Genomic DNA, 26,078 nt, shown 5'->3' with positions numbered 1-26,078 from the left:
AATATCCTTTTCATCATAATGTCCAAATAGATATAGATCTATGTATCAATTCTGTAATGTCCCTTGGTCTTTCTGTCCATTTACCTACAAGTTCTTCAGACAGTTTTAGTTATTGTAGTTTTATATCCTGGCACCTGGTAGGGCTAACTCCTCATTACACTACTTTCATAGAATGTTTATTCTTGCATGGTGTTTCTTCCTCCCATAAGAACTTTATAATTACCTTGTGTAGTCCTTTAAAAAAGACTTAGTATTTTCCACTGCACTCTTATTAAATACACAGAATATTTAAGATGTAGAATGGTGACAGCTTAAGAATGGTGCTGAGGACAAGAGAGGAAGTCTCACTAATATGCAATTATTAACTAAAGTTTTGTAAGCAGAAAATGAGATTGCTTAGAATAAAACACAGAATTAAAAGAGAAAGCAGTTGAAATGAACTCCAGCATCTAGAGTCTGAATGGAATCATGTAAATTGCCAATGGAAACCAGGAAGGTATGGTCAGAGTTGTGAGAAGAAATGCCAGAGTATGGTATAATGGAAGCCAAGGGAATACTGTTGAAAGACAGGAAAATGAGAGTTAAACTGCATTTACAGTGATGCAAGTCACTGAGGACCTTAAAAAAAAAAAACGATTTAGTGGTCTAGGGGACAAAGCTAAATTAACACGTGTTAAAGAATGGGATGGCAAGAGAGAAACACAGCAAGAGCTACAGGAGTATGCCAACTAGAGGACAGTTTTTGTTTTGATGATAGGAAAGACCTGAGTGTGATTAAGTTTTGATGGGAGGATCTAGTACCAACGGACAGACTGAAGATACTAAAGAGAAAGGAGAAAAGGAACAGTATAAGGGTCCTGAAGAAGGGTGGAGAGTTATATTCAGCAATGTGGATGTGTGTAGCAGGAGGAAAGGATGGCTCTAGCCAGAGGAATTGATCCCACACCTCCCTTCGTAACAGGCAGGAAGGAGGAGAGAATGGGGGTAGCACCAGCTAGGTGTGTATATATAGACTTAGTAAGCAAAGTTCAGAAAATTCTGCATTGTCCACCAAGTAAGAGAAGTGGTCATCTTACCTTTTTTTTTTTTTTTTTTTTGAGGCAGGGTCTTCCTCTGTCACCCAGAGCTAGAGTGCAGTGGCACGATCTTGGCTCACTGCTGCCTTGACCTTCTGGGCTCGAGTGATCCTCCCACCTCAGCCTCCCAAGTAGCTGGGACCACAGGTATGCACCACCACGCCCAGCTAATTTTTGTATTTTTTTGTAGAGATGGGGTTTCGCTACGTTGCCTAGGCTGGTCTAAAACTCCTGAGCTCAAGTGATCCACCTGAATCAGCCTCCCAAGTGCTGGGATTACAGGCGTGAGACACTGTGTATGGCCCATCTTAAATTTGATTAATAAAAGACACTCTTATTGTTGAACACTTACACTACTTTCGGTATATCACTAAGAACAGAATAGTTGGGTCAAAGTGGTAAGCACTTTGTGAAACTTTTGAATTCCTACTGCCTAACTTCCCTTGAGAACAAAGGGTTTCCCATTTACACTCCCTCTAGAACTCCTCTCCTCAAGTTGGATGGCTATCACTACTTTTTCCCCCCAACCATTCTGTCTTGGCATCCAATGTTCATTTTTATTAATATTTTAAGAAGAAAAGGCTGATTTTTTTAAAGCAAGGTTTGAGATGAATGGTAATTACTCATGTATAACTTCAAATAGACTTCATTTAAAAATATTTTTAAAATATAAGTCCATTAAAGTCATGTAATAAAGATATGTACCTCTGAAAATGAAGTGTGAGATCAGATTTATCCTTTACCATTATGGACACAATGTAATAAAATGGCAAGGAGCTGAAGAAATAAAGGAAGAAACAACTTCCCAATAAACAGATTACAGAAAAGCCTTCCATGAGAAACTTCTTGAATAGGACTCAGTAAACAGTCATCTATCTGGTCAAAGGACAGGATTCTTTGATTACCTGAAAATCATTTGCAATTCAGATCAACAAGTAAAATCACCCACCAATGAAGTACATAAGCATCCCCTGCCACTGAACCCCCACAAGCTACAGATTTCATGCCAAAACCCTCTCTCCATTAACACCTTATCATCACTATGCTGAAAGCCAATGAGAATGCAGGTAACAACCTAGATCTGGGTCAGGAATTATTTTTATTGCAGGTAAGGAACTGCACAAATCTCAAACGGCACCAAAAACAGGCCCTTCTTTCTTACCTTTACCATGAACGTGAAGTCTGTTAGGGCTGGGGAGTAGACGGCCCCACCAGCACATGGGCCCATGATCAGAGAAATCTGAGGGATGACTCCGGATGCCGTAACATTCCTCTGCCAAAACAGAAAAGCAAAAGCATCTGGTTACAGAGATGTTTGAGGCATTATCTGTGGAAAGATAAAGACAACAATAAGATAACATTTGGCTTTTTTCCCACAGAAATTCTATACAGGAGGCAACAGACCTAATCAGTGAAGTTCTTTAAGAATTATATGTGCATTTTCTCCCCGTAACTGGTAGGATGGTCAGCATATTACTTTCTGAGGCAAGTATTTTCTCTCCCCTCCCCTCCTGGGCAGCAGTTCCCTAAAACCTTCACTAAGGGCATGAGGTACAGAGTGTATCCCACCATCCTCACCACAGCTCCAAATGCAAAGCCCCCCATCTGTGCAAAGCTGCCTGAAAGAAGACTGAAAACCTCATGCAGAGTTTGCAGAGCCAACACTTATCTTGGCACCCTGACCTCTATTTTGAGTCCCTCCACACCCTCCACAGAAGGCACGCAAGGGTACAAGCAGGTGCTTCTTGACACTGAGTACCCAGTGTCTACTCTGCCCATCCCCAGACAAGGAATGCAGGAGAGAAGGCGGTAGAAGGAGCCAGAAAGCCTCCATAAGGACACTGTGTTGTGAAGGACTAAGCCTCAGGAAAGATAGGATGTGGGGGCTCAAAAGACCCAGGCAAGATGATAAAAGGCCCAATTATTCTTTGCCCTACTTCCAAATTCTTTCCTTCTCCTAAGTCCCATCAGCTTAGGAAAAGTAGGTTCACTTTTCAGCCTGCCTTGGCTCTAAGCCCAATCTATACACAGCTAAGGACAGTGCAAAATGTAATCTATGCTTTCTGCAAAGATATCAAGGTAGTAGGGGAGACTTCCAGCTGTGGCAGAGTGAAGAGTTCAGAAAATTCTCTCCCCAAAAACAACTGGACAGCATTGTCAAAAACGAGTATTTTGGGGTTCTAAAAATGAGCCAAATGTAACAAATTGAGAAGTGTTTATTCATGAAAAACTACTAAACTTGAGATAAGAACAGTGAAAGCCTGTGGCATTCTTAACCAAGGCTGCCACCATTGCCCATACCAGCTCAAAATGTCCTACTGGATGAAAGAAAATAACACCAGACTATAATTCAAATCCACAAGAACCAATTAAGAGTGCTGAAAATGATAAATATGTGATTATAAACACTGCATAAGTATAGTTCTCTTTTCTTAATACTTTGAAAAACAAGACTGTATAAAGCAATAATTAACACTGTTTTGAGTATTACATAACAATAAAAGCACAAATGAAGGGGGAGAAAATGGAGCTACATTGGAGCAAAGTTCCTGTCTTACCAGAATTAAGTCAGTATTAATTTGAAGCAGACTGTGATAAATTAAGAGATATATAGTAACCCTTAGAGCAACTACTAAAAATAACTCAAAAAATACAGCTAAAAAACACTAGAAATTAAAATGGTACACTAAAACTATATGCTTACCATAAAAAAACTGAGTGACATCACAGAAGAGAGAACAGGAAGCTCCAAGAATATCTGAGATCAAAACAACTATTCAGCTGTCTAAAGCAACTATTTTTGAACTCTGGAGTCTACTCAAACACTTCAGGGCCCAGAGGAGAATTTGATAAAACAGCAAGTAAATTTCAGTAAACTTCACATTTATTAATAACATGGCTGCTATAATCCCCCAGCCAACAACCCATGGCAGGTAGCCACGAGGATGTTCCTAGTGTAGCTAGTTGGTGCCAGATTGGGAAATTAGAACCTTTGCATCTTGGTTTTTCAACCTTGAAAAATCAAGGTTGTATGTTCTGATTACTGACCACTGCTTTTGATGGCTGAGGGGCTAAGCATAGAGGCTGGCATTGTTTCAACCCTGATTGGCTCAAGCAGCTTCCCAGCCACAAGGGATTTAAAAAGGTAGTTTGTTCCACACCCCTCCACACTTCTGGGAGACAGACATTTAAGGAAATTACTGTCAGATTGCTGGTTAAACACAGTGATAAGAGAACTAAAATTTCAATGTCCATATTAAAAAAGGAACATACTCTTTGCAAAAACAGCTTGCAAAAGTTCAAACAGATGGACCCAGCAGTTGACAAGCAAAAATCGGCTATTCCTGAAAAGTAGGAGAACTAGACTTCCAAACTTCCAAACATAATATTCAGAATTTCTCATCCTCAACAAAAATCACAAATCATACAAAGAAATAAGCAAGTATGGCCCATTCACAAGAAAAAAATAATTTAACAAAAATCATCTCTGAAGAAACCCAGATATTGGACTTAATAGTCAAAGATGGCACATGAACTGTCTTAAATATGTTCAATGAGCTAAAGAAAGCTGTGGGGGGAAAAAACTACAGGAAATCAGGAAATCAATGTCTGAACAAAATGAGAACACCACAAAGAGACAGAAATTATGAAAAGGAACCAAGCAGAAAGCCTGGAGTTGACAATAACTGAAATGAAAAATTCATTTCAGGGGTTCAACAGCAGACTTAAGCAAGCAGAAAAAAGGATCAGGAAACTGGAATACAAAACAAAATAATCTAGTATAAGGAACCAGAAAAAAGAAAAGGAGAAATTAATAGAGCCTGAGGGACCTGTGGGAAACCAAACATACCAATATACACATTATAGGAATCTCAGAAGAACAGAAAGAAAGGGTCAAAGATTTGAAGAAATAATGACTGAAAACTTCCCACATTTGATGAAAGACATAAGTATACATACCCAAGAAGCTCAACAAACTCCAAGCAGTATGAACTCAAAGAGATCTACACGGAGACATATTATAGTCAAACTGTCAAAACACAATAAGAGAAACTTGAAAGCAGCAAGATAGAAGCAACTGATCCCATGCAACTGATCCTCAGCAAGATTAACCATGGAGGCCGGAAGGCAGTGGGACATATTTAAAGTACTGAAAAGTCAGGTGCGCTGGCTCACACCTGTAATCCCAGCACTTTGGGAGAATGAGGCAGGAGGACCACTTGAGGCCAAGAGTTTGAGACCAGCCTGGACGATATAGTGAGCCCTGATCTCTACAGAAAGTTTTTTTGGTTGGTCGGGCATAGTGGTGTTCTACTAGCTACTCAGAAGGCCAAGGTAGGAAGACTGCTTGATCCTATAAGGTCAATGCTGCAATGAGCCATGATCATGCCACTGCACTCTATTCTGCGTGACACAGCAAGACCCTGTGTCTAAAATAAAAATAAAAACAAAATATTGAAAGAAGGCTGGGCACAATGGCTCATGCCTGTAATTGCAGCTCTTTGGGAGACCAAGGCAGGTGAACTGCTTGAGTCTACGAGTTTGAGACCCACCTGGGCAACATGGTGAAACCCTGCCTTTACAAAATATACAAAAATTAGCTAGGCATGGTGGTGCATGCCTATGGCCCCAGCTACTCAGGAGGCTGAGGAGGGAGAATCATTTGAGCCTGGCAGGCAGAGTTGCTGTGCGCCAAGATCGCACCACTGCACTCCATCCTGGGCAACAGAGCAAAACTCTGTCTCAAAAAGAAAAAAAGAAGTATTGAAACAAAATAACTGGTCAACCAATAACTTTATATCCAGCAAAACTATCCTTCAAGAAAGAAGGGAAAATTAAGACATTTCCAAGTCAACAAAAGCTGAGAGCATTCATTTGCAATAGACACGCCATACAAGAAATTCTACAGGGAGTCCTTTAGTCTGAAACAAAAGGATATTAGACAGTAACATGAGGTCATGAGAAAAAATAAAGAACACTAATAAATGTAACTTCCTAGGTAAATATAAAAGTAGTGTTGTACTTTGGTTTGTAATGTCTTTTTCCTATGTGATTTAAAAGGCAAATGTGCTGCTCCTCTCAGCAGTTGCGGCCCCAGCAGAGGAGTCTGCACAAAAAATAAAATTTACAAAAATAAATAAAAAGGCCGGGCGCGGTGGCTCACGCCTGTAATCCCAGCACTTTGGGAGGCCGAGACGGGCAGATCACGAGGTCAGGAGATCGAGACCATCCTGGCTAACACGGTGAAACCCCGTCTCTACTAAAAATACAAAAATTAGCCAGGCATGGTGGTGCGCGCCTGTAGTCCCAGCTACACGGGAGGCTGAGGCAGGAGAATGGCGTGAACCTGGGAGGCGGAGCTTGCAGTGAGTCGAGATCACGCCACTGCACTCCAGCCTGGGCGACAGAGCGAAACTCCGTCTCAAAAAATAAATAAATAAATAAATAAAAATAAAATGCAAATGCATGAAACAATAAATCTGTTGTTAATGAGTATAACATGTATAAAGATATAATCTATGACAATAACAACATAAAAAAGGAAGGATGGAGAGTTACAGAAGCAGTATGTCTATGTACTACTAAAGCTAACCTGGTATTCTTCCAACTAGTTCAAGATATTAATTATAATCCCCAAGGTAACCACTAAGAAAACAAACTTTAAAATATGATTAAAATGAAAGAAGTGAATCAAAAAGGCAAACAACTCAACTAAATATCACCACCCCAAGGCCATAATGGAGGAACTGAGGCATAAAAAACCAAAACACATACAGAAATAACTAAATGGCAGAAGTAAATCCTTCTTTTTCAGCAATCATGCTAAGTATAAATGGATTAAACTCTTCTATTAAAAGACAGGGATTGACAGATTGCATACAGACAGAATCTATCTGTATGCTATTTACAGGAGCTTCACTTTAGATACAAAGACATGAAGAGGTAAACTAAAGGATGGAAAAAAATATTCCATGCAAAGGGTAACCAAAATAGACCCTAGGTGGCTATATTACTATCAGACTAAAGAGACTTTAAATCAAAAACTTACTAGAGAGACATATTGATAAAAGGTTCACATCTAGAAAATATACCAGTTAAAAAAATATACACACCTAACAGAGCCCCAAAATCTATGAAGCAACAAGAGCCCTAAAATACACAAAGCAAAAGTTAACAGAATTGTGGGGAGAAATAGGTGCACAATAATAGTTGCAGACTTAACACCTCACTTCTAATAACAGACAGAACAACTAGACAGAAGATCGGTAAGTTAACAGTACACTTGAACAACACTATGAACTAATACATATAAAAGACCTATAGAGAACACTCCACCCAACAACAGAGTATATATTCTTGTCAAGTGCATATGCAACATTCTCCAGGAGAGACCATACATTAATCCACAAAACAAATCTTAAATTTAAAATGATTGGAATCATAAAAAACATCTTTTCTGATCACAATGGAATAAAACTATAATTCAATAACAATAGGAAAACTGAAAAATTCACAAACACGTAAAAATTAATCAAAACACTTCTAAATAAGCAATAGGCAAAAGAAGAATCTACAAGAGAAGTTAGAAAATACTTTGAGAGGTTTTGGTTTTTCCACCCCCACCAAGATGGCAGATAAGAAGCAGTGTTAGCATGCCTCTCCCACTTAGAAGAACAGAATAGTGTATTGAGAATCACATGGTGACTCTTTTTCCAAGAAGCCACGCAGGAACTTAACAGGAAAACTGAAAGAATCCACAGACCTTTTAAAGAAGTGGCAGTCTGCAGCCTAAACCATAAGACAAGGGAAAAACTGTAAGTCTCCAGAGTGTGAGATAGAGAGAAGCTGCTTTCAGGTTCCCACTGGGGAACCTGAAAATCCAGGCCATGGGGGAAGGCCTTAACCTTACCCAGGGCTGGGACTGATTTAGGGAGCAGTAAGAAATATAAAAGTAGAAACAGTGGCGGGAAGTGCTTTGCAGGCATTCCCAGTCTCCAGTGCAGACCAAGGTAAGCCATTCTTTATTGTACCTCACAGGGGACCTTGGGGAAGTCAGCCAACAAGCTCAGGTAGTGGTCGCAGGTTGAAAGAATCTCCCCATTTCAAGATATAACACTGAGTGAGGATGAACTCCTTTGTCCAGAACCCATACCTCCCAGGGGCAGGGGGAAGTGCACTGCAGCCACAAGTGCAGGAGCCAGGTGCCTGGCCCTGCAGGTGGCCTGGGAGGAGCATGGCCTGAAAGCCACAGCTGCTTTCCCACAGGGAAAGCTTATGGCCTGGGGCAGGTTTGAGTTCTGAGCCTAGGCTGCCTGGAACTTAGCCCAGTGCAGCTAGCAGAGCACAGAGGGAGTGAGATCTGCCTTTCCGACCGTGTGGGATCTGGGTGAGGCTTAGTGCCACCTGTTACTCCCCACACACTGTGCGATCTCTTCTGTGCAGTAGAGGCAGTTATATTCCTCTCTGGAACATTACCCTAATGACCTGAGAACCGCCCCCCCAACCCTCATAGGAGCCACGGCTTTCCCCACACATGGAGAGACAGAGTGTAGACCCACCTGACCCAGCCCCCACCTGGCTGTACCCCTCCACCCACCCTGGTTACTTAATACAAAGGACAGAAACTTTTGGCAGCTTTATGGACCCCGTTGTCACCTGAGAAACCAGAATACCTCCTGGGCAACACAGGACAAGCTCGAATCCCACTGCTACTACTGCAGCTGGTGCCCTTTTGTAAACGCTACCTCCAGGCTGGATGCCAACCAACACAGTCCACTACAGCATCTCTAGGTAGAATAACACTGTGAACAGAAAGGAGAAAACCAGTGCATGACCTAAGCTATCATCATTGCCTGCAAAACCCTGGCTAACCAGGAGGTCCTGCATCTGTCCACGTGACCAGTTCACTACTATTATAACCAGCATTCGAGAAAGCCAGCACACTAAGGCTTTCTGTAACCAAGGAACCTCAAAGAGTCTACCTCACTCACCTGACACTCCCATCAGCACTAGTGTTGGTATATCCCTTGCTGGGAGACTTGAGGACAGGTCCCATTACCGGATCCCTTGCAGACATTCCCCAGCACCAGCCTGGAGTTGGGCAGCCCCACTGGGTGGCTAGACCCAGAAGAATAGCAATCAACTTATCCTGGCTCTCAGGAATTCTTACTCCTAAGGGAAGGAGGAGACCACCACACCAAGGGAATACCCCATGGGACAAAAGAATTCAGATGGCAGGCCTTGAGTTCCAGATCTTTCCACTGATGGGAAGTTCCTTTCAGCAGAGACACAATTGCAGTGCTGGGCTCAGAAGGGAAAGTCTGCAGCTCTACCCCAACAATCAGGCAGCTTTGCTGCTCATGAAGGGTCCTGGAGAAGGTATCTTCTCTCCCACCTTGTCCACCACTACACAGACACAGTTGGGGCTTCTCCACAGGAGCTTGGCAAAGGTGAACCTATAGACAGCCTTCCTGGAACACTACAGAGTGACTGCATCTCCACAGGAGGAATCCCCCAACCCCCACCCCCGCCCTGGCCCAAGTTCAGGCTTGCAAGAGAGGCAGAGTCACAAATTCCTCTCTGTGTGGAACAACAACAGTCCTACAGATGAAAAGAGATGCCTGTCTGATCCGAATAGCTGGAACACTAGGGCAGGAGCGAGTCTGGGAGGTGAATAGCTTTCCTACTGGCCTGGCAAAGGAGCTGAGGTGGCTCCCACCCTTCCCCTTGATAAGACCTCAGTGCATCTAATTGAGAGTTCCCCCAGCCACTTTCATCAAGGGTGGAACCTCTCTGCCTTACTGAGTATTGCATTTACCCATTTGCTTTAGCCACAACTGGTTCCTACCCAGGGACAGCTCCCCTACTGGCCTGAAGCCTTAACCATCAACTTAGTAAATAAAATACAGGGGAAAAATTAAATAAATAAAAAAGCACACACCACAGGGGAATGAGATGAGCTTCAAGAGACCTTTCCATCTCAACCCCATAGGAGACAGTGAACTTGCCCACACATCAAGTACATATCTATTAAATACAGGCCAGGGGCAGTGGCTCACGCCTGTAATCCCAACACTTTGGGAGGCCAAGGCAGGTGGATCACCTGAGGTCAGGAGTTTGTGACCAGCCTGGCCAACATCCTGAAACCCCGTCTCTACTAAAAATACAAAAATTAGCCAGGCGTAGTGGTGCACACCTGTAGTCCCAGCTACTCGGGAAGCTGAGGCAGGAGAATCACTTGAACCCGGGAAGTGGAGGTTGCAGTGAGCCAAGATTGTGCCACTGCACTCCAGCCTGAGTGACAGAGCGAGACGCCATCTCAACAAAAATAAATAAATAAATAAATAAATACAACCAGCATCTAAAGAAGCCATCATACAAAGACTCTCTATAGCCAAGGAACTCATACAGTCTTCCCCCTAAAAGCATTAAGAATCACATTAGGCTATAATAAACTATAAACACTAAAGTCACATCCTTAGTGAAGAGGAAAAAGAAACTTAAAAAAACCACAGCCAAATCAAAAATAAATTCAAGAACAATTAGAAGAAATACTCTACACAAACGAGAAAGAACCAGAAAAGTAATTTTGGTATAAGACAAAACAGGGTTCTATCATACCCCCGAAAGATCACACTAGCTCCCCAGCAATGGATCCAAACTAAAACGAAATATTTGAAATAATCAGATAAATAATTCAGTAGGTTGATTATTAAGCTACTCAAGGAGACACCATAGAAAGGTGAAAACCAACATAAAAAAAAAACTTAAAAAACAATTCAGAATATGAAGGAAAAATTTTCTACATAGATATCATAAAGAAAAAACAATCAGAATTTCCGGAAATGAAACACACTTAGGGAAATACAAAATGCAATGGAAAGTTTCAACAATAGACCAGAACAAGTCAAAGAATGAATTTCAGAGCTCCAAGACAAGGCTTTCAAATTAACCCAATCAGACAAAAATAAAGAAAAAAGAATCAAAAGAAATAAATAGGCTGGGGTCAGTGTCTCATGCCTATAATCCTAGCACTTTGGGAGGGCAAGGCAGGTGGACTGCTTGAGCCCAGACTTTGAGACCAGCCTGAGCAACATAGCAAATTTCCATCTCTACAAAAAAAACATAAAAATTAGCCGGGAGTGGTGGCATGTGCCTGTAGTCCCAGATACTCAGGAGGCAGAGGTGTGAGGATTGCCTGAGCCCAGGAGACAAAGGTCACAACACTGTACTACAGCCTGGGCAACAGAGTAAGACCCTATCTCAAGAAAGAAAAAAAAAAAAAGAAAGAAGAAATGAACAAAGCTTCCAAGAAATATGGGATTATGTAAAACAACCAAACCTAAAAATACTTGGTGGTCCTGAGGGAGAAGAGAAGGCTAAAAGTTTAGAAAACTTATTTGAGAGAATCATTGAGGAAAACTTCCCTGGCCTTGCCTGAGATTTCAATATCCAAATGCAAGAAGCTCAAAGAACTCCTGGGAAATTCATTGCAAAAAGATTATCACCAAGGCACATAGTCATCGGGCTATCTAAAGTCAACATGAAGGAAAGAATCCTAAGAGCTATGAGACAAAAGCATCAGGTAACCTATAAAGGAAAACCAATCAGACTAACAGCAGATTTCTCAGCAGAAACCTTACAAGCTAGAAGGGATTGGGGTTCTATCTTTAGCCTCCTTAAACAGAATAACTGCCACCCAAGAATTTTGCATCCAGCAAAACTAAGTTTCCTAAATGAAGGAGAGATAAAGCCATTTTCAGATAAACAAATGCCGAGGGAATCTGCCACTACCAAACCAGCATTACTCTTCAGAAGAGTTCTACATCTTGAAACAAAAGCTCAATATGCACCAAAATAAAACCTCTTGAAAGATAAAACCCACAAGGCCTATAAAACAATAACACAATGAAAAAAAAACAAAGTAAGTAACAACTAAAATGATAAACAGATCAGTATCTCACATCTCAATATTAATGTTGAACGTAAATGGCCTAAATGATCCACTTAGATACAGAATGGCAGAATGGATTTTTAAAAAATCACAAACCAAATATCTGCTGTCTTCAAGAGAGTCATCTAACACATAAGGATTCATATAACCTCAAGGTAAAGGGGGGGAAAGAGATATCCCATGCAAATGGGAACCAAAAGCAAGCAGAATGAGCTATTCTTTTTTTTTTTTTTTTTTTTTTTTTGAGACAGAGTCTCCCTCTGTCACCCAGACTGGAGTGCAGTGGTGCAACCTCGGCTCACTGCAAACTCCGCCTCCTGGGTTCACGCCATTCTCCTGCCTCAGCCTCACAAGTAGCTGGGACTACAGGCACCCGCCACCACGCCCGGCTAATTTTTTGTATTTTCAGTAGAGACAGGGTTTCACCGTGTTAGCCAGGATGGTCTCGATCTCCTGACCTCGCGATCCGCCCGTCTTGGCCTCGCAAAGTAGCTATTCTTATATCAGACAAAATAGACCTTTAAAGCAACAACAGTAAAAAAAAAAAAAAAAAAAAAAGAAAAAAGAAAAAAAAAAAGAAAGAAAAAGAAGGTCATTATATAATAAAAGGAACAATCCAACAAAAAGATATTATAATCCTGAATTCATATTCACCTAATACTGGAGCTCCCAGATTTATAAAACAATTACTACTAGACCTAGGAAATGAAATAGCAACAAAGTGAAATGGGGGACCTCGATACTCCACTGACAGCACTAGACTCTTTTTGTTGAGACAGAAACTCAACAAAGAAGCAATGGACTTAAAGTATACCCTAGAACAAATGGACTTAACAGATATTTACAGAACATTCTACCAAACAACTGCAGAATATACATTCTTCTCCTCAACACATGGAACATTCTCCAAGATAGACTGTATGACAGGCCACAAAACAAGTCTCAACAAATTTAAGAAAATTGAAATCATATCAAGTATCTTCTCAGACTACAGTGGAACAAAACTAGAAACAACTCCAAAAGAAATGCTCAAAACTATACAAATACATGGAAATTAAATAATCTGCTCCTGAATAATTTCTGGGTTAACAATAAATCAAGATAAAAATTTAAAAATTTGAAATGAATGATAGTAGTGACACAGTTATAAAAACCTCTGGGGATACAGCAAAAGTAGTGCTAAGAGGAAAGTTCATAGTTTTAAGTACATACATCAAAAAGTCTGAAAGAACACAAACTGACAATCTACTGTCTCACCTCAATGAACCAGAGAAACAGGTACGAACTAAACCCAATGCCAGCAGAAGAAATAACAAAGATCAGAGCAGAACTAAAGGAAATTGAAGCAAAAAATAAAACAAAAACTTGGTTCCTTGAAAAAATAAACAAAATTGGTCGACCATTAGACTAACCAAGAAGAGAATAGATCCAAATAAGCTCAATGAAAAATGAAACTGGAAATATTATAACCAATATCATAGAAATACAAAAGATCACTCAAGACTAACATGAACATCTTTACACACACAAACTGAAAAATCTAGAGGAAATGGATAAACTCGTGGAAACATACAATCCTCTAAATCAGGAAGAAACAGAAACCCTGAACAGACCAAAAACAAGCAGTGAGACTGAATCAGTAATTTTAAACTGCCAACAACAAAAAAGCCCAGGACCAGATGGATCACAGTTGAATTCCACTAGATATTCAAAGAATTGGTACCAATCCTACTGAAACTATTCCAAAAGATTGAGAAAGAGGGAATCCTTCCTAAATCATTCTATGAAGCCAGTATCACCCTAATACCAAAGCCAGGAAATGACATTAAAAAAAGAAAACTACAGACCAGTGTCTCTGATAAACATGGATGCAAAAATCCTCAACAAAATACTAGCTAACCAAATCCCACAGCACATCAAAAAGATAATACAACATGATCAAGTGAGTTTCATCCCAGAGATGCAGGGATGGTTTAACATATGCAAGTCAATAAATGTGATAAATCCCGTAAACAGAATTTAAAACAAAAACCATATGATCATCTCAATTGCATGCAGAAAAAGCATGCAATAAAATCCAGCATCTCTTTATGACAAAAAACTCTCAAACTAGGCATAGGAGGGATATACTTCAAAATAGTAAAAGCAATATATGATAAACCCACAGCCAACATCGTAATGAATGGGGAAAAGTTGAAAGCATTCCCCCTGAAAACTGGAACAAGACAAGGATGCCCACTTTCACCACTTCTATTCAACATAGTACTGGAAGTCCTATCCAGAGCAATTGGGCAAGAGAAAGAAATAAAGGGCATCCAAATTGGAAAAGAGGAAGTCAAACAAGTACTGTTTATCAGTGATATGATCATATATACTTGGAAAACTCTAGCGACTCATCCAAAAGACTCCTAGATCTGATAAAGGAATTCAGTAAAGTCTTAGGTTACAAAATTAATATAGACAAATAAATAGCTCTGCTATACACCAACAATAACCAAAGTGACAATCAAATCAAGAACTCAATTCCTTTTACAACAGCTGCAAAAAATAAAATAAAATACCTAGGAATATACCTAACCAAGGAGGTGAAGATCTCTACAAGTGAAACTACAAAACGCTGCTGAAAGAAACTATACATGACACAAACAAATGAAAACACATCTCATGCTCATGGAGGTAAGAATCAATATTGTGAAAACGATCATATGGCCCAAAGCAATCTACAGATTCAATGCAATTCCCATCAAAACACTACCATTACCATCATCATTTTTCACAGAACTAGAAAATACAATCCTAAAATTTATATGGAACCAAAAAAGAGTCCAGATAGCCAAAGCAATACTAAGCAAAAAGAACAAATCTGAAGGCATCACATTACCAGACTTCCAAGACTTAAATCTAAGACCTGAAACCATAAAAATTCTGCAACATTGGAAAAACTCTTCTGAACACTGGCCCAGGCAAAAAATCCATGACTAAGACCCCAAAAGCTAATGCAACAAAAACAAAAATAAATGGGACCTAATTAAACTAAAAAGCTTCTGCACAGCAAAAGAAGTAATCAGCAAAGAGCCAACTCACAGAGCTGGAGAAAATATTTGCAAACTATGCACCTGACAAAGGACCAGTATGCAGAATCTACAAGGAACTCAAATCAGCAAGAAAAAATAATCCCATCAAAAAGTAGGCAAAGGACATGAATAGACATTTCTCAAAAGAAGATATACAAATGGCCAACAAACATGAAACAAAATGCTCACATCACTATCAGGAAAATGCAAATGAAAACCACAATGAGATACCACCTTACTCCTACAAAAACGGCCATAATTAAAAAGTCAAAAAACAGCCGGGCGCAGGGGCTCATGCCTGTAATCCCAGTAATTTGGGAGGCCAAGGCAGGTGGATCACCTGAGGCCAGGAGTTTGAGACCAGCCTGACCAATATGGTGAAACCCTGTCTCTACTACAAATACAAAAATTAGATGGGTGTAGTGGCGTGTGCCTGTAGTCCCAGCTACTCGGGAGGCTGAGACAGGAGAACTGCTTTAACCCACAAGGTGGAGACTGCAGTGAGCCGAGATCGCGCCATTGTACTCCAGCCTGAGAAACAGAGCAAGACTCTGCCTACAGCGGGAAAAAAAAAAATGTCAAAAAACAACAGATGTGGCCGGGCACTTCATGTAACTTGTGTGAGTGTTCTGTCTTACTGAAATCAGAAAAGTTCATAACCAGTGCATAGGGAACCTACCTCACAGAGGCAACCCTTCCAACTCATTCTATGAGGTGAGAATTACTGTAATACCAAAACCAAAAGAAAAAATCACAAGGTAACTGTAGGTCAATGTTTCTTACTAATATTGATTCAAAAGTACTCAAGGAAATACTGGCAGAGCCCAGCACCTTCCAAAAAAGGATGATATACCATGACCAAGTAGGATTTATCACAGAAATACAAGGTTGGTTTAACATTCTAAAAACCAGTAATGTTACATACCATATCATTAGAATAAAGAACAAAAAACACATGATTATCTCACAGATGCAGAAAAAAGCATTTGACAATATTAAATACCCTTCATGATAAAAACACTCAAAAAATTAGAAGTAGAAAGGAACTTCCTCAACCTTCAAGAGAATGTCCAAAAAAAAAAAAAAAACACACACCAGTTAACATCATGCTTAATGGTGAAGAATGAATGCTTTCTCCTTAAGATTAGGAACAAGACAAGGATGTCCACTCTTATTTTTTTTTTTTTTTTTTTTTTGAGACAGAGTCTCACTCTGTCACCCAGGCTGGAGTGCAGTAGCACGATCTCGGCTCACTACAGGCTCCGCCTCCCGGGTTCACGGCATTCTCCTGCCTCAGCCTCCCGAGTAGCTGGGACTACAGGCACCCGCCACCACACCCGGCTAATTTTTTTGTATTTTTAGTAAAGACAGGGTTTCACCGTGTTAGCCAGGATGGTCTCTATCTCCTGACCTCGTGATATGCCCACCTCGGCCTCCCAAAGTGCTGGGATCACAGGCGTGAGCCACCGCACCCGGCCAAGGATGTCCACTCTTACCACTTCTACTTAACACTGTACTACAGGTTCTAAGCAGAGCAATTAGCAAGAAAAAGAAATAAAAGGCATCCAGATTAGAAAGGAATAAGTAAAACTGCCTCTATTTGCAGAAGACATGATTGTGTATATAGAAAATCCAAAGAAATACACACATACACACACACCCCCTATTCAAGCTAATACACAACCTCAGCAAAGCAGTATACAAGATCAACATATGAAAATCAATTGTATCTCTATACATTTGCAAAGAATCCAAATAGGAAATTAACAAGATAATTCCATTCTAAATAGCATCACAAAGAGTAAAATATTTTGTTTTGTTTTGAGACGGAGTCTTGCTCTGTCACCCAGGCTGGAGTCTGCAACCTCCGCCTCCTGGATTCAAGCGATTCTCCTGCCTCAGCCTTCTGAGTAGCTGGGATTACAGGCATGCACCACAACACCTGGCTAATTTTTGTATTTTTAGTAGAGACAGGGTTTCACTATGTTAGCCAGGCTAGTCTCGAACTTGTGACCTCAGGTGATCCCCCTGCCTTGGCCTCCCCAAGTGCTAGGATTACAGGCGTGAGCCACTGCACCTGGCCAGAGTGAAATATTTTAGGTATAAGTTTAACAAAAGAAGTGCAAGACAGGTATGCTGCAAATTACAAAATATTGCTGAGACAAAGTATAGAGCTACATAAACAGAGAAACATTCCATCTACGTGGAGTGGAAGACTCAATATGTTAGGATGTAAATTCTCACCAAATTCATCTACAGACTCAATGCAGTTCCTATCAAATCTCAGCAGGCATTTTTGTAGAGTTAAGAGCTGATCGGGCTGGGTGCGGTGGCTCACGCTTGTAATCCCAGCATTTTCAGAGGCCGAGGCGGGTGGATCACCTGAGATCAGGTGTTCAAGACCAGCCTGACTAACATGGTGAAACCCTATCTCCACTAAAAATACAAAAATTAGCTAGGTGTGCTGGCACGTGACTGTAATCCCAGCTACTCGGGAGGCTGAGGCAGGAGAATCGCTTGAACCCAGGAGGTGGAGGTTGCAGTGAGCTGAGATCATGCCACTGTGCTCCAGCCTGGGCTACAAAGCGAGACTACATCTAAAAAAAAAAAAAAAAACCAAGTTGGAGGATTTTACACAACTTCAAAACTCCTATAAACTACAGTAATCAAGACAGTGTGGTTCTATTTTAAGGACAGACATAGAACAATGGAAGAACTGAGAGTTCAGAAACAAACCCTTACATTTATGATCAACTGATATTTTTATCAATGTGTCAAGACAATTCAATGGGGAAAGAATAGTTATGTCAATTAATGGTGGGAGACAAGAGTGATGTTAGACTCTTCTGTCACACCATATACAAAAATTAACTCAAAATGGATCACAGACCTACTATAAGAAAGCTGGCTGGGCTCTCTTATATGTACTTGTGTATGTAGATATATATATATATATATACATATATATATATATATATATATATATATATATATCTACACACACACACACACACACGCACACACACACACACTAGCCAGGTTTGGTGGCAGGCACCCATAATCCCTGAGATAGCGCCATTGCACTCCATCCTGGGCGACAAGAGTGAAACTCCATCTCAAAAAAAAAAAAAAAAAAAGAGCCAAACCTACAAAAAAAACTCCATGAAGAAAACAAAATCTTCATGACTTTGTATTACAAGTTTTTACATATGACAATAGAAGCATGACCCACAAAAGAAAACTTGATAAACTGGACTTCAAAATTAAAAACTTCTCCACCTCAAAAGCCACCAGAGGCTGGGCACATCGGCTCATGCCAGTAACACCAGCACTCTAGGAAGCCGAGGTAGGAGGACAGTTTAAGTCCAGAAGTTTGAGAACAGCCTGGGCAACATAGTGGGACCCTCACCTCTACAAATAATGAAAAAAAATTGCCAGATGTGGTAGCATGTGCCTGTGGTCTCAGCTACTCAGGAGGATGAGGCAGGAGGACTGCCTGACCCCGGGAAGTCCAGGCTGCAGTGAGCCATGATTACACCACTACACTTCAGCCTGGGTGACAGAGTGAGACCCTAGCTCAAAAAAAAAGCCACCACAGGCTTGGGGCAGTGGCTTGTAATCCCTGCACTTCGGGATGCCGAGGCAGATCGCTTGAGACCAGGAGTTCAAGACCAGGCTGGGCAATGTAGTAAGACCCCATCTCTACACACAAAAGAAATTTTTCAAAAATTAGCTGGGTGTACTAGTGTGTGCCTATAGTCCTAGCTACTCCGTAGGCTAAGGCAGGAGGATTGCTTGAGCCCAGAGTTCAAGGCTGCAGTGAGCTGTGATTGCACTAACGCACTCTAGCCCAGGCAACAGAGCAAGACCCTGTCTCTAAAAAATAAAATAAAAATAGGCTGAGTGTGCTGGCTCACGCCTGTAACCCCAGCACTTTTAGAGGCCAAGGGAGGCAGATCACCTGAGCTCAGGAGTTCAAGACCAGCCTGGGCAACATGGTGAAACCCTATCTCTACTAAAAATACAAAGAAATTAGCTGGACGTGGTGGCATGCACCTGTAATCCCAGCTACTTGGGTGACTGAGGCACGAGAATCACTTGAACCCAGGAAGTGGAGGTTGCAGTGAGCTAAGATCACACCACTGAACTCCAGCCTGGAGGACAGGGTGAGGCTGTCTCAAAAAATAAAAAATAAAAATAAAAATAAAGCTACCACTAAGAAAGAAAAGACAAGCCACAGACTGGGAGAAAATACTTACAAATCATATATATGATAAAGGACTTGTATCCAGAATATATGAAGAACTCTTACAACTCAAAAACCCAATTACGAGATGGACAAAAGATCTGAATAGACATTTCAGCAAAGAAGGTTTACAAATGACTAATATGTACATAAAGATGCTCAACATGATTAGTCATCTGAGAAATGCAAACTAGAACTACAGTGAGATACCATTACACACCACTAAAATGGCTATAGTCAAAAAGACTGGACCAGGCACAGTGGCTCACGCCTGTAATTCCAACACTTTGGGAGGTTGAGGCAGGAGGATCGCTTGACCCCAGGAGGTCGAGGCTGCAGTGAGCTGTGATCATGCCACTGTACTCCAGCCTGAACAACAGAGTGAGACCCTGTCTCAAAAAAAGACTGGCTGGGTGCGGTGGCTCACGCCTGTAATCCCAGCACTTTGGGAGGCCAAGGCAGATGGATCGTTTGAAGTCAGGAGTTCAAGACCAGCCTGGCCAACATGGTGAAACCCTGTCTCCACTAAAAATACCAAAATTAGCCAGCCATGGTGGCACATGCCTGTAATCCCAGCTGCTCGGGAGGCAGAGGCAGGGCAATCACTTGAACCTGGGAGGCAGAGGTTACAGTGAGCCCAGACTGCACCATAGCACTCCAGCCTGGGCCACAGAGTGAGACTCCATCTCAAAAAAAAAAAAAAACCAAGGCTGGGCATGGTGGTGGCTCACACCTGTAATCCCAGCACTTTGGGAGGCTGAGGTGGGCAGATCACGAGGTCAGGAGATCGAGACCATCCTAGCTAACATGGTGAAACCCAGTCTCTACTAAAAATACAAAAAATTAGCCGGGCGTGATGGCAGGTGCCTGTAGTCCCAGCTACTCGGGAGGCTCAGGCAGGAGAATGGCGTGAACCCAGGAGGTGGAGCTTGCAGTGAGCCGAGATCGCACCACTGCACTCCAGCCTGGGCGACAGGGCAAGACTCTGTCTCAAAAAAAAAAAAACAAAAAAAGACTGACAATACCAAGTATCAACAAAGATATGGAGAACCTGCAACCCTGAACACATTGCTCATGGTAATGTAAATGGTTTAGTTGTTTTGGAAAACCATCTGGCAATTTCTTAAAAAGTTATAAACAAGCTTATCATAAAACCTACAATCCCACTCTTAGGTACCTATCTATCCAAGGGTTATGAAAACATATATCCACACAAAGTAATACACAAATGTTCACAGTAGCATTTACTCATGATAGCCAGGAACCAGAAACAATCCAAATATCCTTCAACTGGTAAATGATGAAAATACATAAAATATTCAATAGATATTATTCACCAATAAAAAGGAACAAACTGATACATATTACAATATAAATGAACCTCAAAAAACATGGTGCTTAGTGAAAGGAGTCAGATGGAAAAATTTGTAAAATAAGAAAGTTGGGTGAGGAATTGACTGTGGTTAGGTGGGAACTGACTGCAAACAGGCAAGAAGGTATTTTTGGAGTGAGTGGCAGGTTTGAAAACTAGATTATGGCTGTACAACTCTAAAAATTAATTTAAAATTACTGAATTATATTTTCACAATGGGTGGATTTTATGGTTTGTAAATTATATCTCAATAAAGCTACTTTTCTTTTTTGAGATGGAGTCTCGCTCTGTCACCCAGGCTGGAGTGCAGTGGCATGATCTCAGTTCACTGCAACCTCCACCTCTCAGGTTCGAGCAATTCCCTGCCTCAGCCTCCCGAGTAGCTGGGATTACAGGCGCTCGCCATCACGCCCGCCTAATTTTTGTATTTTTAGTAGAGACAGGGTTTCACCATCTTGGCCAGGCTGGTCTTGAACTCCTGACCTAGTGATCCACCCACCTCGGCCTCCCAAAGTGCTGGGATCACAGGCATGAGCCACCGTGCCCGGCCCTATTAAGCATTAAGCTCTTTTTTTTTTTTTTTTTTTTTGAGACGGAGTCTTGCTCTGTCGCCCAGGCTAGAGCGCGGTGGCGCAATCTTGGCTGACTGCAAGCTCTGCCTCCCGGGTTCATGCCGTTCTCCTGCCTCAGCCTCCCAAGTAGCTGGGACTACAGGCGCCCGCCACCACACCTGGCTAATTTTTTGTTTTTTTTTAGTAGAGATGGGGTTTCACCGTGTTAGCCAGGACGGTCTTGATCTCCTGACCTCGTGATCCACCTGCCTCGGCCTCCCAAAGTGCTGGGATCATAGGTGTGAGCCACCACACCTGGCCAAAGCTATTTTTTAAAATATCAAGATCATGGAGAACAAAGACAGGAACTGCTCCAGATCAAAAAAGATTAAAAAGAGATAACATCTAAAGTCAATGCTTTATTCTGGATTGGATCCTGGCCAGGAGGAACATATATATATATACATATATACACACACACATATATATGAGAGACAGAGACAGAAAGAGCGAGAGCGCGCACATAGAAAGTGCACACATGCCCAGAGCACACACTATAAAGGACTTAAGTCCTGAATAAGGATAATGAATTAGAATAACATCGATGAATCGATGTTAAATTTCCTGATTTTTATTACTGTATTCTGGTTATTTAAGAGAATATCTTTATTCTTTAGAAATACCCAATGAAGAACTTAGGAGGTAAAGAAGACATAGTATCTCCAATTTATTCTCAAATATTTCAGAAAAATGTAACATGCAAATATGTATATATGGAGAGAGAATAACAGAACAAATGGAGAAAATGTAAACAACTGGTGAATCTGGGAAAAGGACATATAGGAGTTCCCATACTATTCTTGTCATTTTTCTGTGAAGTTTGAATTTTTTTTTTTTTTTTGAGACAGAGTCTTGCTCTGTCACCCAGGTTGGAGTGCAATGGCACAATCTTGGCTCACTGTAACCTCTGTCTCCCAGGTTCAAGCAGTTGTCCCACCTCAGCCTCCTGAGTAGTTGGGATTACAGGCATGTGCCACCATGCCCAGCTAATTTTTGTATTTTTAATAGAGACAGGATTTCACCATGTTGGCCAGGCTGGTCTTGAACTCCTGACGTCAAGAGATCTACCTGCCTTGGCCTCCCAAAGTGCTGAGACTGCAGGTGTGAGCCACCGTGCCCAGGCTGAAGTTTGAAATTTTATCAAAATAAAAAGTTACCAAAAAATAACACAGGCAGGAATAAGTGAGTGGAGGTATCAATATGACAAGCAGCATTAGTAAGCAATTAATTAAGCAATGAAGATCTGAAAGTAAAGACTAGCCCTTGAAAACAAAAATTAAAAGCCAGGCGTGGTGACTCACTCCTGTAATCCCAGCACTTTGGGAGGCAAACGCAGGCCAATCGCTTGAGTCCAGAAGTTCAAGATAAGCCTGCGCAGCATGGCAAAACCCCGCCTCTATAAAAAAAATACAAAAAAAAATTCACCGGATGTGGTGGTGCATGCCTGTGGTGCCAGCTATTCAGGAGACTGAGGTGGGATGATCGCTTGAGCCCAGGAGGCTGAGGTTGCAGTGAGCAGAGATCATGCCACTGCATTCCAGCCTGGCCAACCAAGACACTGTCTCTAAATAAATAAATATTAAAAAAAAAAAAAAAAACCAGCTGGGCGCGGTGGCTCACACCTGTAATCCCAGCACTTTAGGAGGCCGAGGTGGGCGGATCACAAGGTCAGGAGTTCGAGACCAACCTGGCTAATATGGTGAAACCCCGTCTCTACTAAAAATACAAAAATTAGCTGGGCGTGGTGGCAGACGCCTATAGTCCCAGCCACTCGGGAGGCTGAGGCAGGAGAATCACTTGAGCCCAGGAGGCAGAGGTTGAAGTGAGCCGAGATCGGGCCACTGCACTCCAACCTGGGAGACAGAGCCAGACTCTGTCTCAAAAAAAAAAAAAAAAAACCTCCTCCAGACCCATAAAGATGTATTCAACTAGATGATATTCTAAAATCCAGTCAAGCTCTAAAATGTGGTGGTTTATCACCACGTCTCTGAGGGCCGCTCTTTTGTTTCTAAACAGGAATGACTTCCAGGCCTAAACTGCTTAGGCCAAGCCATCCACAGAAGTAAGCCTGCAGAGCAGGGATGATAAGAGTGGCTGGCCTGATTAAAAACAATGTCTGCCTGTCTCCTTCCTTTCTTCTCCCTGGAAATGTTGCCAGTTTCTGTCTGCAGTATCTCTCTCCCTCATCCCAGCCTCTTACTGTATCTCTCACAAATATACTTTATACTTCACATAACACATTATTTTATGTTTCTTTTCATTTCTTTCTCTCATAATTTCAGTCTGTAAATAAGCAAAGAGATATCAGTAATGAGGTTCGCCAAATGTTTCTGAATGGTAGGATCTGGGGTGATTTCATTCTTCTTTGCACTGTGGCTTGGACTTTATTTAATAATCCTGTAGTGTTTTAACTAAAAAATAAAAAAGGTGCTACATTTTTTAAAACTTCTAATTCAAGCACATCAGTTCATTTTAACTTTTCATATTTCCTCTCCCTTGCTTTCAAAAAAAGAAAAACATTTTCAAGTGCTTTTCCCTTATGAACGATCTTTAACTGTAATTTCCCCTGTGAGTGGCCCTCTGTTAGAAAAAATGAAAACCCTCTCTTCCCACTCTCTCTTGCTTTTCATCTACCCTTCATCCCACCCCCAGTGACACAGAAAGGACCCACAGAACAGACACAATGCGGCAGAGAACAATGAGGAGAGTTGGAGAAGCTCTGGCCAGGCCATGGCTTAGAGAACTTAAGCCCTGTATTTTTTTATTCTCTATTAACAGGTTTCTCACCAGAAAGATGTCTGCATAGCCAGCCAAAGACTCCACTCCTTCTTGGATCCGTGCTCCCCCAGAGTCATTCAGCCCAATCACTGGAGCCCCCACCGTTATGGCCTGGTCCATGATCTGAGACAGCAGAGAAATCTTTTATTGAGACAAATGTTCTTGATATAAAAAACGACATTCACAAAATACCACAGTGTTTTCTGGAAAACGTTCTGAGTGCACTTTTCAAAACAGGAGGCAGTAACACTGGTTTCACTCCCCATCACGATTGGGTACCTTCATGGAAGACAAAGGACCAGATATTTAATAGGCTGATTAAAGCCCCCAAACACCCAAGAGCCAAAGCACTTCCCATTAGCAGGGGATAAAACAACTCATGGCAACCATTTCTAGAACCACAGGCTCACGTTGTAACGTCTTCCAGCAGCCAGTTTTGTTCCCAGGTACTGCTTTGACAGAACTTACAGTAGACAGAATGGCAAAGTAGTACTTTCATGAAAGCAGATGTTGACCCATCTGTTAATCTGAGGGCAGGCCCGGGCCTGCTTTTACTTCTAATGTGACAGATTTTCCTCATGGGTTAGTAATTCCGACAGCATAATAAGCAATATTCCTACAGTCCTTGACAGTTTAAAAAGTACTTTCACTTCCATTACCTCATTTACCCATCATAACAGAGGGAGTAAAATGAGAAAAATTAAGGTTTAAAAGTTAAGTGACTGGCCCAAGGTCTCAGGAGTAATACATGACAGGACCATGTCTATAATCCAGATGTTCCAGTTACTAGTAGCTCCAACTTTAATTCCAAAATTCTCTATTATTTATAGTTTTATTCCTCTCCAGAGCATCTAATCTCTAGCAGTAGTTTTTAAATATCAGCATACAATGCTCGCACTGTTCTTTACCTTCTAGCACCTGGCCCTTCCACCTAGACAAGAGGTTCTTCACTTGAAATCCTCAGAACCCCAAGAGATCTGTGAACGGGAGTCCATGAACTTGAACAGGAAAAAATTTACATCTTTATCTTTACTAACGCTAGCTGATCGTTAACATTTCTCTTCATTATTGATATAGGCAATGAGCCTCAGTATTAGAAATATCTGTGATTTGCCATTATTAGAAGCCACAGATATTTTTACGTCCTATTAAAGTTGTTGCAGATACCCTGAAATATTTCACCTTTGACTACTTTGAAATTACGGTAGTTACTAGATCTACTGCTAAATCTTGTTATTAAATGCATTAACAAGGGAGCACGTATATTCTAAATGTGGTTTTTAAAAACATTTTTAATCCTTTAAAATCCTACAAATTTTATTTTAGGCATGTAAAAACAGGAGGGTTCAGGCTTTGCCAGCCCATGGAAGAGATCCATGGTACGAAAATTGTTATGCACCCCTTCGGGTTGGTAGCACATCTTGCATACCTCTGCCCTACCCCAAGTACCTAGCTCAGTGTCTTGTACCCCAAAGATACTCAATAAGCACTATGTAACTGAGGAAAGCAATGGATTGAATTTGAGTATTAAACACTTACTTTGCAGATCTTTTGGGCATGTGCTCCTGACAGACTGCCTCCAAAAACTGTAAAATCCTAAAAAGAAAATACAAATCAGCAAGTCAAATATAGTGACTGGCTAGAGATGAAAACCCAGTGGGAGGAAGAAATAGAAAATTCACAGATAAAAGTTTTTAGGCCAGGCGTGGTGGCTCATGCCTGTAATCCCAACACTTTGGGAGGCCAAGGCAGGTGGATGGCTTGAGTCCAGGAGTCTGAGACCAGCCTGGGCGACATGGCAGAAGCCCGTATCTGCAAAAAATATAGAAAAAAGTTAGCTGCGCATGGTGGCACATGCCTGGAATCCCAGCTACTCGGGAGGCTGAGGCAGGAGGATTGCTTGAGCCCTGGAGACAGAGGCTTCAGTGAGTTGAGACAGCACCACTGTATTCCAGCCTATGCAACAG

General features: G+C 41.4%; 1 protein-coding gene across 3 annotated transcripts in view; it reads right to left on the bottom strand.

The window, feature by feature from the left end:
- The window catches only part of PCCB (propionyl-CoA carboxylase subunit beta), a 79,830-nt gene that overhangs the window by 43,984 nt on the left and 9,768 nt on the right, over nucleotides 1–26,078 (bottom strand). For all 3 annotated transcript variants that reach the window (NM_001178014.2, NM_000532.5, XM_011512873.2), the window contains 3 exons: nucleotides 25,651–25,707; nucleotides 24,121–24,234; nucleotides 2,239–2,349 (listed from right to left, as the gene is read on the bottom strand). In NM_001178014.2, the coding sequence (NP_001171485.1) occupies nucleotides 2,239–2,349; nucleotides 24,121–24,234; nucleotides 25,651–25,707 (282 nt within the window). The remainder of the gene's footprint in view (nucleotides 1–2,238; nucleotides 2,350–24,120; nucleotides 24,235–25,650; nucleotides 25,708–26,078) is intronic.

This window comes from Homo sapiens, chromosome 3 (assembly GCF_000001405.40).
Source record: "Homo sapiens chromosome 3, GRCh38.p14 Primary Assembly".
NCBI classification, from domain to species: domain Eukaryota; kingdom Metazoa; phylum Chordata; class Mammalia; order Primates; family Hominidae; genus Homo; species Homo sapiens.
This window is presented reverse-complemented; position numbering and strand designations above follow the sequence as displayed.